Source organism: Homo sapiens, chromosome 16 (genome assembly GCF_000001405.40).
Source record: "Homo sapiens chromosome 16, GRCh38.p14 Primary Assembly".
Classification (NCBI taxonomy): Eukaryota; Metazoa; Chordata; class Mammalia; order Primates; family Hominidae; genus Homo; species Homo sapiens.
In genome coordinates this window covers 14,649,345-14,663,571 of record NC_000016.10, presented here as the reverse complement: position 1 = coordinate 14,663,571, position 14,227 = coordinate 14,649,345, and the positions used below count along the sequence as shown (strand labels likewise).

Sequence of the window (14,227 nt, the reverse complement as noted above, 5' to 3'; positions counted from 1 at the left end):
ATTACGAGGTCAGGAGATCAAGACCATCCTGGCTGACACAGTGAAACCCCATCTCTACTAAAAACACAAAAAATTAGCCGGGTGTGGTGGCGGGCGCCTGTAGTCCCAGCTACTCAGGAGGCTGAGGCAGGAGAATGGCATGAACCCGGGAGATGGAGGTTGCAGTGAGCCAAGATTGCGCCACTGCACTCCAGCCTGGGCGACAGGGCGAGACTCTGTCTCAAAAAAAAAAAAATTAGCCTGATGAACAGGCAGAGGCTGTTGGAGCTCGTTAAAATTGAAGGGCTGGGTGCCAGGTGCAGTGGCTCACGCCTCTAATCCCAACACTTTGGGAGGGCAAGGTGGGAGTAAGGGAGGAGACCACCCCTCATGTTGTCTTATGCCCAATTTCTGCCTCCAAAGAAAGAAGTAAAAACTAAAAGGCAGAAATGAAATCCACAGGCAGACAGCCCGGCGCTGCGCTCTGGGCCTGGTAGTTAAAGATCGACCCCTGACCTAACCAGTTATGTTATCTATAGATTCCAGACATTGTATGGAAAAGCACTGTAAAAATCCCTGTCGTATTCTCTTCTGTTCTGATTACCGGCGCATGCAGCCCCCAGTCACGTATCCCACTGCTTGCTCCATTGATCACGACCCTCTCATGTGGACTCCCTTAGAGTTGTGAGCCCTTAAAAGGGACAGGAATTGCTCACTCGGGGAGCTCGGCTCTTGAGACAGGAGTCTTGCCGACGCTCCCGGACAAATAAATCCCTTCCTTCTTTAACTCGGTGTCTGAGGGGTTTTGTCTGCAGCTCTTCCTGCTACAGGAGGATGGTTTGAATTCAGGAGTTCAAGACCAGGCTGGGCAACATGGTGAAACCCTGTCTCTGCAAAAAATGCAACAATTAGCTGGGTGGTGGTGCTCGCCTGTAGTCCCAGCTACTTGGGAGGCTGAGGTGTGAAGATCGCTTGAGCCCAGGAGGTCGAGGCTGCAGTGAGCTGTGATTGTGCCACTGTACTCCAGCCTGGGAGAAAGAATGAGACCCAATCTCAAACAATCAATCAATAAATAAAATTAAAGGTCAGGGTCTCTGCACAGCCAGTCTGGTGAGGTAAACAGCAAGTGGAGACTGGGTAATTAGGGGAGGAATGTGCAAGGGAGCCGATTAGCAGGCTTCAGACTATATTCAAGGCTGAAACCAGTTAGCCAGCACTTGATTGTAGTGTTTACAAGGGTCTTTGGGGGAAAAAAAGGATCTCTGGAGATTTCAAAATTCTGTGTTATTATTTATGGGTGTGGATGATACTTGATGATTCCTCTATGCATGTGACTTGATATGAACAGGTCAGAAGTACTGGCCCCAAGAGAAGCAAAGCAAAGGATATTACTCTCAAATGACCTACCAGACATTCTGAAGGAGTTCATGGGTCAAACTGAAGAAACATGGCACCCATGGTGGGTAGCAATCTCTGCAAATAACTTGACAGTGGAATAACTTTATTCCAGGCACTGTGCAGACCTACCAGAAGCTTGGTGACGATGTCCTCCCCAGAGCTGTCTTCTTGCAGAGGGCAGATGGTGTGGATGAAAGGTAGGAAGGTGTCGGTGTAGTCAAACAGGTACAGGTAGAGCAGACTCAGCCTGGGGGAGCTCTTGAGGGCGTATAGCAGGAACAGGGACCTGCCTGGGTTCACAGCCTGCAGAGGAGAAGAGTACAGGGCCACATTACAACCATGGCGGCCAGCTACCCACCCACGCTCCTTCCCATCTCTCGCTTGTTGCCATCAGCCTTTTTGCATGGTACACACAATGCATGAATGAATGAACGGCAAGAAGAGGCCAAGTGATCCACATTTGGGGTTACATTGTATAAAGATTCGATCTTGGCGGAGCATGGTGGCTCACGCCTGTAAATCCCAACACTTGGGAAGGCCGAGGTGGACGGATCACTTGAGGTTAGGAGTTTGAGACCAGCCTGGCCAACATGGTGAAATGCTGTCTGTACTACAAATAAAAAAATTAGCTGGGCATGGTGGCTCATGCCCTGTAGTCCCAGCTACTCAGGAGGCTGAGGCTGGAGAATCGCTTGAACCTGGGAGGTGGAGGTTGCAGTGTGCCGAGATCATACCACTGCACTCCAGCCTATGCAATACAGTGAGATTCCAGCTCAAAAAAAAAAAAAAAAAAAAAAAAAAAGATCCAATCTCTAGCTCTAGCTGGGGGGAGGGGTGAAAAGCATACTCTTGCACCCTGCTTGCAGAATATAGCCTTTTTAAAAAGCTATTTTGAAAAAGGTATCAAAGAGTCTTAAAATTGTTTAATTCAATCAGTCTGTAAGTGGGCACCACTTAATGCAAATAATCTGAAATACAGATTTTATATACAAGATGTTTAGTACTACACTGAGTGTAATAGTGAAACCAGTGAAATCTACAGTTACAGCAGATACTTAACATGGAATTCACATAGCCATTTTCATTTTCTTCAGTTTTTTAAATCAAGTTTTACTACAGTGAATGTTTACTTCCTTATTATAAAAGTAACTGAATAGATTATTCAGGGTAAGCGTGGTGGCTCACGCCTGTAATCCTAACACTTTGGGAGGCAAGAGGATTGCTTGAGGCCAGGAGTTCAAGACCAGCCTGAGCAACAAAGCAAGACCCAGTCTCTTAATTTTTTTATTTTTTTGAGACAGAGTCTTGCTCTGTCGCCCAGGCTGGAGTGCAATGGTGCATTTTTGGCTCACTGCAACGTCTACCTCCCAGGTTCAAGCAATTCTCCTGCCTCAGCCTCCCAAGTAGCTGGGATTACAAGTGAGTAATGCCACGCCTGGCTAATTTTTGTATTTTCAGTAGACACTGGGTTTCACTATGTTGGCCAGGCTGGTCTCGAACTCCTGACCTCAGGTGATCCACCTGCCTCGGTCTCCCAAAGTGCTGGGATTACAGGTGTGAGCCACCACGCCTGGCGTAAGACCTCGTTTCTTTAAAAAAAAAAAAAAAAAGGCCGAGTGCGGTGGCTCACACCTGTAATCCCAGCACTTTGGGAGGCCAAGGCAGGAGGATCACCTGAGGTCAGGAGTTCGAGACCAGCCTGACCAATATGATGAAACCCTGTCTACTAAAAATACAAAAATTAGCTAGGCTTGGTGGCATGTGCCTGTAATCCCAGCTACTCGGGAGGCTGAGACAGGACAATCACTTGAACCCGGGAGGCAGAGGTTGCAGTGAGCCAAGATCTTGCCATTGAAATCCAGCGTGGGCAACAAGGGCAAAACTCCATCTCAAAAAGAAAAAAGATTCAATTTATTTGATTCTTAGTAGCATCAAAATAAAATGAGCAGTTTACCACAGAAGATATAAGGATGGCAAATAAGCATGTGAATGTGAATTAAATGAGAAATGCAAATTAAATCCCCAGTGTCCAGTGGAGATCACTGCATCCTTGTTGGAATTGGGAGGGCTGGGAGGGAAGGCTTAACAGGGGCAGGAGGAAACTTCTGGGAGTGACGGAGATGTTCCCCATCTTCATCGTGTGATGCTTTCATGGGTGTGCATATGTGAAAACTTATCACATCGTACACTTTAAGTAGGTGTATATCAATTTTACCTCAATAAAAACTGTTAAAACATTCAATTTAGCTGATGCTATGAATAACTTACTGTTAGATTTTTAAAAAGTGTGATGATGATTGCATTTTTAAAAAGATTCTTTCTCTTTAGAAATGTATACTATAGAGACCGGGCGTGGTGGCTCAGCCTGTAATCCCAGCACTTTGGGAAGCTGAGGCAGGCAGATCACCTGAGGTCAGGAGATTGAGACCAGCCTGGCTAAAACGGTGAAATCCCGTCTCTACTAAAAATACAAAAAATTAGCCGGGCATGGTGGCGGGTGCCTGTAGTCCCAGCTACTGGGGAGGCTGAGGCAGGAGAATGGTGTGAACCCAGGAGGCGGAGCTTGCAGTGAGTGGAGATTGCGCCACTGCACTCCAGCCTGGGCGACAGAGTGAGACTCCATCTCAAAAAAAAAAGAAGTATACTATAGAGGCCGGACATGGTGGCTCACGCCTGTAATCCCAGCACTTTGGGAGGCTGATGCAGGCAGATTGCCTGAGGTCAGGAGTTCGAGACCAGCCTGACCAACATGGTGAAACCCTGTCTCGACTAAAAATACAAAAAAAATTAGCCGGTGTGGTGGTGGGCACCTGTAGTCCCAGCTACTTGGGAGGCTGAGGCAGGAGAATCGCTTGAACCTGGGAGGTGGAGGTTGCAGTGAGCCAAGATCATGCCACTGCACTCCATCCTGGAGGCAGAGCGAGACTCTGTTTCAAAAAAAAACAAAAAACAAAAAAAAACAAAAAAAACCAAATTGCATACTACAGGCTGGGCATGGTGGCTCACGCCTATAATCCCAGCACTTTGGGAGGCTGAGGCGGGTGGATCACCTGAGGTCAGCAGTTTGAGATCAGCCTGGCCAACACGGTGAAACCCCGTCCCTACTAAAAATACAAAAAATTAGCTTGGCATGGAGGCGCACACCTGTAGTCCCAGCTACTCAGGAGGCTGAGGCAGGGGAATCGCTCGAACCTGGGAGGTGGAGTTTGCAGTGAGCTGAGATCGCGCCATTGCACTCCAGCCTGGATGACAAGAGCAAAACTCCATCTCAGAAAAAAAAAAAAAATCATAATTACTATTAATTGGTGGAGGGGTGTACAATGGTGATATTGTAATTTTGTCTTTTGAAAAGTCCTTACTTTTCAAGCAGGACATGGTAGTGATACAGGAGTGAAGAAGAAGTTACTTAGGCAGATAGTGAGGGTAAGGGAGCCCTCATTAAGGTTTTCCTTTTTTTTTTTTCAGATGGAGTCTCGGTCTGCCACCCAGGCTGGAGTGCAGTGGCACAATCTTGGCTCACTGCAAGCTCCGTCTCCCGGGTTCACGCCACTCTCCTGCCTCAGCCTCCCCAGTAGCTGGGACTACAGGCGCCCACCACCACGCCCAGCTAATTTTTTTTTGTATTTTAGTAGAGATGGGGTTTCACTGTGTTAGCCAGGATGGAGGTTTTCCTTTTAATGAAAAGCAGCCTCAAATCATTTTCCTTTCTAACAAACAGCAGCCTGTAAAATGGAACTGCAGACACAGATGCTGGCAGTTATGTCAATCATGTTCAAGACAGAAGCTCCATCTTCCCTTCTCTTTGTCAGCCACATGTACAGTACAGTAAGGAGCAGACAAGATAGCACCAGCCAAGGGGACAGAAAGTTCCTTTGCATAATAAGATTAGGGTGGGGTGACCACCCTTCCTGTGCACTGTGGAAACATCATACCTGATCGAACCAATCTGTGAGCCCTATGTAAATCAGACACCGCCTCCTCAAAACTGACTAAAAAATCCAGCACATCTGCTGCCTGCCAGTCTTTTCCTCTTGGAAGTCCCCTCTCTCTTGCTAGAGACAGAGCTGTTTTCCTTTCTCTTACTTTTGCCTATTAAACCTCTGCTCAACTCTTGTGTGTCTGTGTCCTAAATTTTCCTGGTGCAAGATGACAAACCCCAGTTCCCCAGGCAATGTAGCTGCTTCAGTAGCCTGTGCCTGTAGCCCCAGCTACTTGGGAGGTTGAGGTGGGAGGATTACTTGACCAGGAATTTGAGACCAGCCTGGGCAACATGGTGAGACTCCATTTCAAAAAAAAATTTTTTTTTAAGAGATTAATGCTGAAATATTTACCTATGAAAAATATGGCAGCTTGGCTGGGCGCAGTGGCTCACGCCTGTAATCCCAGCACTTTGGGGAGGCTGAGGCGGGCAGATCACCTGAGGTCAGGAGTTCAAGACTAGCCTGGCCAATATGGCAAAACTCCGCCTCTACTAAAAATACAAAATTAGCTGGGCATGGTGGCACCTGCATGTATTCCTAGCTACTCTGGAGGGTGAGATATGAGAATTGCTTGAACCTGGAAGGCAGAGGTTGTAGTGAGCTAAGGTCGCACCACTGCACTCCAGTCTGGGAAACAGTGAGACTCTGTCTCAAAAAAACAAAAACAGGTCAGGCGCGGTGGCTCACACCTGTAATCCCAGCACTTTGGGAGGCCGAGGCAGGCGGATCACAAGGTCAGGAGATCCAGACTACCCTGGTTAACATGGTGAAAGCTCGTCTCTACCAAAAAATAAAAAAATTAGCCGGGCACGGTGGTGGGCGCCTGTAGTCCCAGCTACTTGGGAGGCTGAGGCAGGAGAATGGCGTGAACCCAGTAGGCAGAGCTTGCAGTGAGCTGAGATCGCGCCACTGCACTCCAGCCTGGGCGACAGAGCGAGACACCCTCTCAAAAAACAAAACAAAACAAAACAAAAACAAAAACCAAATAACACAAAAAATAACAAACATTCTATTTCAGGAGCTCCACGCACATTCTTTACAATATTTGAAACTAGTTATTAAAGTAATACACGCACATATTACAGAAGCATTTTTTATTTCTTTCTTCATTTGAGACAGTGTCTCACTCTGTCACCCAGGCTGGAGTGCAGTGGCACCATCTCAGCTCACTGCAACCTCCACCTCCTTAGTTCAAGCAATTCTCCTGCCGTAGCCTCCTGAGTAGCTGGGATTATAGGCATGCACCACCACACCTGGCTAATTTTTGTGTTTTTAGTAGAGATGGGGTTTCACCATGTTGGTCAGGCTGGTCTGGAACTCCTGGCCTCAAGTGATCAGCCTGCCTCGGCCTCCCAAAGTGCTGGGATTACAGGACTTTGTTCCTTATGGATTACAGGACTTTGTTCCTTATTAACACAAAGTCTTTGTCTCCTTTTCCGGTGGCTGCCTACATGGGTGTGCCTTGTTTATTCAACTTGTTCCTAATGAGGGGCACTTAGGTTGTTTTCTACTCCCTGCAATTACCAACAATGCTGCCGTGAATAACTTGTTTAACAACTTTCCGTTAATCAAACATTGGAGTCTCACAATGACCCTCTAAGGTTATTTACCCAGGAGGAAACAGGCAAGGAGAGGTGCAGGTACTTGCTGGTGTTCCAACAGGTGGTGTGTCTTGGAGGAGCTGGCCCAGGCAGGCTAGTGCCAGGGCCTTTTTTTTTTTTTCTGAAACAGGGTCTCAACTCTCTTGCCCAGGCTGGAGTGCAGTGGTTCGATCATGGTTTAGCGCAGCCTCAGCCTCGCAAATGGCTGGCATCACCACACTCAACTAATTTTTTTTGTGTCTGTACTTTTTGTAGAGATGGGGTCTTGCCATGTTACCCAGGCTAGTCTTGAACTCCTGAGCTAAGCAATCCTCCCACCTCAGCCTTCCAAAGTACTAGCATTATAGTTGTGAACCACCATGCCCAGCCCACAGCGTTACTCTTTTTGTTTCTGTTCTTTGCTTTTTTTTTTGGGACGGAGTCTTGCTCTGTCCCCTAGGCTGCCATGCAGCGGTGTGATCTCGGCTACCGCAGCCTCAACCTCCCAGGTTCAAGCATTTCTCCTGCCTCCAAGTAAATGGACCTACAGGAGTGTGCCACCACTCCCAGCTAATTTTTGTGATTTTAGTAGAGACGGGGTTTCACCACGTTGGCCAGGCTGGTCTCAAACTGCTGACCTCAGGTCATCCCCCCGCCTCGGCCTCCCAAAGTGCTGGGATTACAGTTGTGAGCCACGGTGACCAGCCCAGAGCCTCACTCTTGACCACCGTGCTGTGCTGCCTCCATTCCAAGTGCAAAGGAGTGAAATGCTGGCTTAAAGAGCAGATGCGGTTTAAACTGAAATGTTATTGACAAATTGTCCTCCAGTGATATTCCAACAATTCAAGGTCCCCAAAACATGTAAGTGTCTCTTTCCTTATTTATTTGTAAAACAGGCCAGGCGCGGTGGCTGACGCCTGTAATCCCAGCACTTTGGGAGGCTGAGGTCAGGAGGCAGGTGGATCACCTGAGGTCAGGAGTTTGAGATCAGCCTGGCCAACATCCTGAAACCATCTCTACTAGAAACATAAACATTAGCCTGGTGTGGTGGCGTGTGCCTGTAATCCCAGCTGCTGGTGAGGCTGGGGTAGGAGAATCGCTTGAACCTGGGAGGTGGAGGTTGCAGTGAGCCAGAAAAAAAAAAAAAAGAAAGAAAAAATTAGCTGGGTAGGGTAATCCCAGCTACTCTGGAGGCTGAGGTAGGATAATCACTTGAACCTGGGAGGCAGAGGTTGCACTGAGCTGAGATTGCGCCATTGCACTCCAGCCTGGGCGACAGAGAAGGACTCTGTCTCAAAATAAAATAAATAAATAAATAAGTACATAAACTGTCAAAAATAAAAAAGAAAACCCTGAAATTAAAAAAAATTAACAAAAAATAAAAATAAAAAGTAAAAAAAAAAAAAAAAAATTAAAGTGTTCACCTTATATTCCCAGAGATTCTGGGGGGGCTTCACGCCTAATGCTTTGACACGTTCTAGCTCCATGAGGATGGCTCTCCTGTGGCTGCTGTTTTCTATGGTATAGGGCGTCTTGGAAAATTCTTCCTCTGTCAAAGTTAAAAGCAACCTGTAGAGGGGCAGGAGGAGATTTATTTTGCGATTATATACTGGAAGCAAACTCTCTACACTCAGAGTTCCATCTTACTAATATAAATATTGTAGGCTTGAGGTATGGTGAGACATTTCACATTTAACAACATCAAGAGCAGCAAATAATTGAATGCTTACTATTTACCAGTGACAATCTATAAATACTTTCATAAGTCATCACTGATCCATATAACAATTATTCAGGGTAGTGGCATTATGCTGCTTTTGTAGATCAGAAAACTCGCTTTGGCTGGGTGCAGTGGCTCATGCCTATAATCCCAGCTCTTTGGGAGGCTGAGGCAGGCAGATCACTTGAAATCAGGTGTTTAACACCAGCCCAGCCAACATGGTGAAACCACGTCTCTACTAAAAGTACAAAAATTAGCGTGCACCTGTAATCCCAGCTACTTGGGAGGCTGAGGCATGAGAATTGCCTGAACCTGGGAGGCGGAGGTTGCAGTGAGCTAAGATCTCGTCACTGCCCTCCAGCCTTCAGCCCAGGCAACAGAGTGAGACTCCATCTCAAAAAAAAAAAAAAAAAAAAAAAAAGGAAAACTCACTTAGAGAAATAAGGTGACTTTCCCAAGGCACTCCTAGGTCTGTTTTGTTCCTAAGCCTTTGATCTTTCAGTTATACGCTCTGACCTCTCACATATTACTCTATTTTTATTTATTTTTTTATATTACTCTATTTTTAAAACTGTGTGTATGTATAGGAAAAATTAGAAGGAAATCCAATAAAACATTACAACATTAAGAATAGTTCGCACTTTGGGAGGCCGAGGCGGGCAGATCACGAGGTCAGGAGATCAAGACCATCCTGGCTAACACGGTGAAACCCCGTCTCTACTGAAAATACAAAAAATTAGCCAGGTGTCGTGGCAGGCGCCTATAGTCCCAGCTACTCGGGAGGCTGAGGCAGAAGAATGGCGTGAACCCGGAAGGCGGAGCTTGCAGTGAGCCGAGATCACACTGTTGCACTCCAGCCTGGGTGACAGAGCAAGACTCCGCCTCAAAAAAAAAAAAAAAAAAAAAAAGTTCTTAGATGGGCACAGTGGCTCACACCTATAATCCCAGTACTTTGGTAGGCTGAGGCAGAAGAATCACTTGAGCCCAGGAGTTTGAGACCAGCCTGGGCAACACAGTGAGACCCTGTCTCTCCAGAAAAATTAGCCAGGCATGGTGGCATGCACCTGTCGTTTTAATTACTTGGGAGGCTGAGACAAGAGGATTGCTTGAGCCCAGGACTTTGAGGCTGTAGTGAGCTATGATACTGCTACTGCACTCTAGCCTTGGTGACAGAAAGAGACTCTGTCTCTTGAAGAAAAAAGAGTAGTTGTTTTAAGGTAGGGATTTAATTTAATAAAAATAATTGGAGATCCCGTATCTGCTTTCCTCATCAGAAAACACAAATTCTGGCTGGGGGCGGTGGCTCATGCCTGTAATCCAGCACTTTGGGAGGCTGAGGCACAGGTAGATCATCTGAGGTCAGGAGTTTGAGACCAGCCTGGCCAACGTGGTGAAACCTCGTCTCTACTAAAAATACAAATTAGGCGGGCATGGTGGCGTGTGCCTGTAATCCCAGCTACTCAGGAGGCTGAAGCAGGAGAATCGCTTGAACCCAGGAGGTGAAGGTTGCAGTGAGCCAAGATCACGCCACTGCACTCCAGCCTGGGCAACAAGAGTGAAACTGTCTCAAAAAAATAAAAATTAAATTAAAAAAAACACACACAAGAAAACACAAATTCCCCTCCACAGTGATTCATCCTTAAAAACATCACTGTAAGCTGGCCGGAGAGCTATTAACAGGCATATGCAACTACTGGTTGAGTGGTGTAAATTGATCGTCCTTTTATGGGTAATTTGGTGATGCTTATTAAATTTGTACAGATTTACTATCTTTGGCCCAGCAATTCCAGTTCCAGGAATTTGTCCTCTAGAAAGCTATGTAAAAATACATTGTACTAACTAGGTAGAGAAATTTTTATACCATAATTTTGCGGGAGGTGAATTTCTATATAAAGCTAATTAAAGTAGGAGCATGCCATTTCCTCAAAACAGAGTCAGTCAAGTGCTGAAAACTGAGTGGAGAGGAGAGAAAAAGTCACTGGAGTAGGAGGGGTGGCAGTCAGGCAGCCAGGCAGTGGGTGAAGTGGGTGTCTGAAACAAATGAATCAGGGAGAGAGGCTGCTCTTATCACTGTGTGATGTTATACGTAACACCCTTAGGGGGTGGATATAGATGTAAATATATATATACATGTATACATACAAACACATGTCTGTTTAGTACAATCATATTTTCAGTTTAAATTAAAAAAAACACATTTATATCTGTGTAAGTACTGAAACATCTGGAAAGGTGTCTAGCAAGATAAATTGTTTTCTGAAGAGTAGGATTACAAGAGTATGTCACTTTCAATATCACATAGTTATTATTTTTTTAAAAATAAAAATATATATTTGCCAGGTGTGGTGGCTCACACGTGTAATCCTAGCACTTTGGGAGGCCGAGGTGGGTGGATCACCAGAGGTCAGGAGTTTCAGACCAGCCTGGTCAACATGGCGAAACCCCATCTCTACTAAAAATACAAAAATTAGCCACGCATGATGGCAGGCGCCTATAATCCTAGCTACTCGGGAAGCTGAGGCAGGAGGATCACCCAAAACTGGGAGGTGGAGGTTGCAGTGAGCTGAGATCGCTGCCACTGCACTCCAGCCTGGGAGACAGAGTAAGACTCCATCTCAAAAAAAAAAATAAAAATATATATTAATGTGGTGTTACATATTGGCTTTCGTCCATAGTTCCCGGCTCATAGCTGCTGTATCCCTTATTCCAATCTGTGTTAGAATGTTGGAGGCCTAGCACGGTGGCTCACGCCTATAATTCCAGCACTTTGGGAGGCCAAGGCGGTGGATCACCTGAGGTCAGTAGTTCAACACCAGCCTGGTCAACATGGTAAAACCCCATCTCTACTAAAAATACAAAAATTAGCCGGGCGTGGTGGCAGGCACTTGCAGTGCCAGCTACTCGGGAGGCTGAGGCAGGAGAATCGCTTGAACCCAGGAGGCGGAGGTTGCAGTGAGCCAGGATCACACCACTACACTCCAGCCTGAAGGACAGAGCGAGACTCCATCTAAAAAAAAAAAAAAAAAAAAAAAAATTGGGCATGTCAGGCCTCAGTACAGGCATCTGACCTCCTGCTCTCCTTTCACTCTAATCTTTTCCTACCTTTCTGATTGTGGGTCTTAAGAATCTTCCATGAGGAGGGTGCGGGGGCTCATGCCTATAATCACAACATTTTGGGAAGCTCAGGCGGGTGGATTGTTTGAGTCTAGGAGTTCAAGATCAGACTGGGCGACATGGCAAAACCCTGTCTCTATTAAAAATACAAAAATTAGCTGGGCCTGATGGCATGTGCCTGCAGTCCCAGCTACTTGGGAGGCTGAGGTAGGACTCCTTGAGCCCTAAACACAGAGATTGCAGTTGAGTTGAGGTTGTGCCACTGCACTCCAGCCTGGGCTACAGAGTGAGACCCTGTCTGAAAAAACAAAAACAAAAACACAATACTCCGGGGGACAGGATTCAGTGAGCTTCTGGATAGCTGAGCATGTGAGGTTCCTGGAGGGGAGTGCACCCGTGGAGAGCATGGAAGCTCTGTGCCCCTTCCCCCATACCTTGCCCTAAGTGTCTCTTTATCTGTATCTTTTGCAATATCCTTTATAATAAACCAGTGAAAGTACGTGTTTCCTTGAGTTCTGTGAGCTGCTCCAGCAAATTAATTGAACCCAAAGAGGGAATCATGGGAACCCCAACTTGAAGCTGGTGGGTCAGAAATTCTGGAAGCCTGGATTTCTGACTAGAATTAGTCAGGGGCAGTCTTGGGGACAGAGCCCTCACCCTGTGGGATCTCACACTATCTCTGGGTAGACAGTGTGGGAACTGAATTAGAGGACATCCAGCTGGTGTCTCCTGCTGGGTGTGTGCAGGAGAACCCCACATATTTGGTCACAAAAGTCTTCTGTGTTGATTCTTGTGATTAGAGAGAATTTTTCCTTACACAATTTGATAATCCGGAAGCAACAAAGAAATTTAAATGTCATGGACATTAAACGGTGTAGCTGCTGTGGAAAATAGTTTGACAGTTAAACATAGAGTCTGAATAGAGTTACCATATGACTCAGTCATTCCACTCCAAGACAGTATTGAAAATACATGTTCATGCAAGAATCTGCACATGAACGATCATAGCATCATTATTCATAATAGCCAAAAAATGGAATCAGCCCAAATGTCCATCAACCAATGAATGGATAAACAAAATACGGTATACTCTTACAGTAGAATTATTACTCAGCCATAAAACGGAATGAAGTACTGATACATGTTATGTCACGGGTAAACCTTGAAAAAGATTATGCTAAGTGAAAAAGCCAGACACAAAATACCACGCATTGTATGAATCCATTTATATCAAACGTCCAGAATAGACAAATCCATAAAGACAGAAAGTAGAATGGTGTTTGCCAGGGGCTGGGGGTTGGGGAGAAATGAGGATTGACTGAAGGGTAAAAGCTTTCTTTTAGGGTGATGAAAATGTTCTAAAACCAGCTGTGGTGATAATCACACTATTTGTGAACACATTAAAAACCATGGATTGTGCACTTCAAACGTGTGAATTTTATGTAGATTACATCTCTCTCTCTCTCTTTTTGAGATGGAGTCTTGCCTTGTTGCCTAGGCTGGAGTGCAGTGGCATGATCTTGGCTCATTGTAACCTCCACCTCTTGGGTTCAAGTGATTCTCCTGTCTCAGCCTCCCGAATAGATGGGATTACAAGGTGTGCACTACCAAGCCTGGCCAATTTTTTTTTTTTGTATTTTTAGTAGAGATGGGGTTTCATCATATTGGTCAGGCTGGTCTGGAACTCCTGACCTCAAATGATCGATCCGCCTCGGCCTCCCAAAGTGCTGGGATCCAGGTGTGAGCCACCGCGCCTGGCCTGGATTATATCTCAAGAAAGCTGTTTTCTAAAATGTCCACGGTGTGTCAGAAGACTTTGCTCCTCACCTTCCATTTACTCGTTCAGATAAAAACCTTTCCCTGTAAAGAGATGCCCAAGGGCCCAGCTGCTCCAGCCAGAGGACAACTTCTTCCGCCGTCCATTTGGCCACAGCCTTGTGGACCAGGAGGTCGTGTTCAGATTCCCTGCTGCTCCAGTGATAGACGAGCAGGACCACCTGGGGAAAAGTGACAGGGACTTTAAACCATGGAGAGGCAGAGATGCCAGTTTCTAAATATGCGGGTGGGAGGTGGGGAAAGGAAGAGGCTGAGCTCACAGGGAATGATGCGGAGCCCGTACACAGAAGCAGGGCAACAAAAGCAGGGCAACGCCACGGCCACAGAGAACTGGGGACCACAGCTCTCCTCGGGTGCCTCTCTCTGCTGATTGCGTGGCAGTGAGGGCACAGAGGCGAGAAAAGGACTTATCTCAGGCACCTGGGAGCAGGTGGTGCCTTGACTCCATCAACTTGCTCAACATAACTGACTTGTGCCTTTTCTACTGGAAAAACATTTAGATTTTTTATGCACAGAACTTTAAAAGAAAATAGTCTCCACATTGGAAGTTAGTAAACTGGTGGGTTCTTAAGACTGTATTACCAAGGAGGTCCAGGCGTGGTGGCTCACGCCTATAATCC

The 14,227-nt window shown here is 46.2% G+C and overlaps 1 protein-coding gene across 3 annotated transcripts in view; it reads right to left on the bottom strand.

The window, feature by feature from the left end:
* The window catches only part of BFAR (bifunctional apoptosis regulator), a 36,286-nt gene that overhangs the window by 5,665 nt on the left and 16,394 nt on the right, over window positions 1–14,227 (bottom strand). For 2 of the 3 annotated variants that reach the window (NM_016561.3, XM_005255350.3), the window contains 3 exons: window positions 13,599–13,768; window positions 8,362–8,506; window positions 1,507–1,680 (listed from right to left, as the gene is read on the bottom strand). In NM_016561.3, the coding sequence (NP_057645.1) occupies window positions 1,507–1,680; window positions 8,362–8,506; window positions 13,599–13,768 (489 nt within the window). The remainder of the gene's footprint in view (window positions 1–1,506; window positions 1,681–8,361; window positions 8,507–13,598; window positions 13,769–14,227) is intronic. The other variant, NM_001330500.2, reaches the window with a different exon arrangement.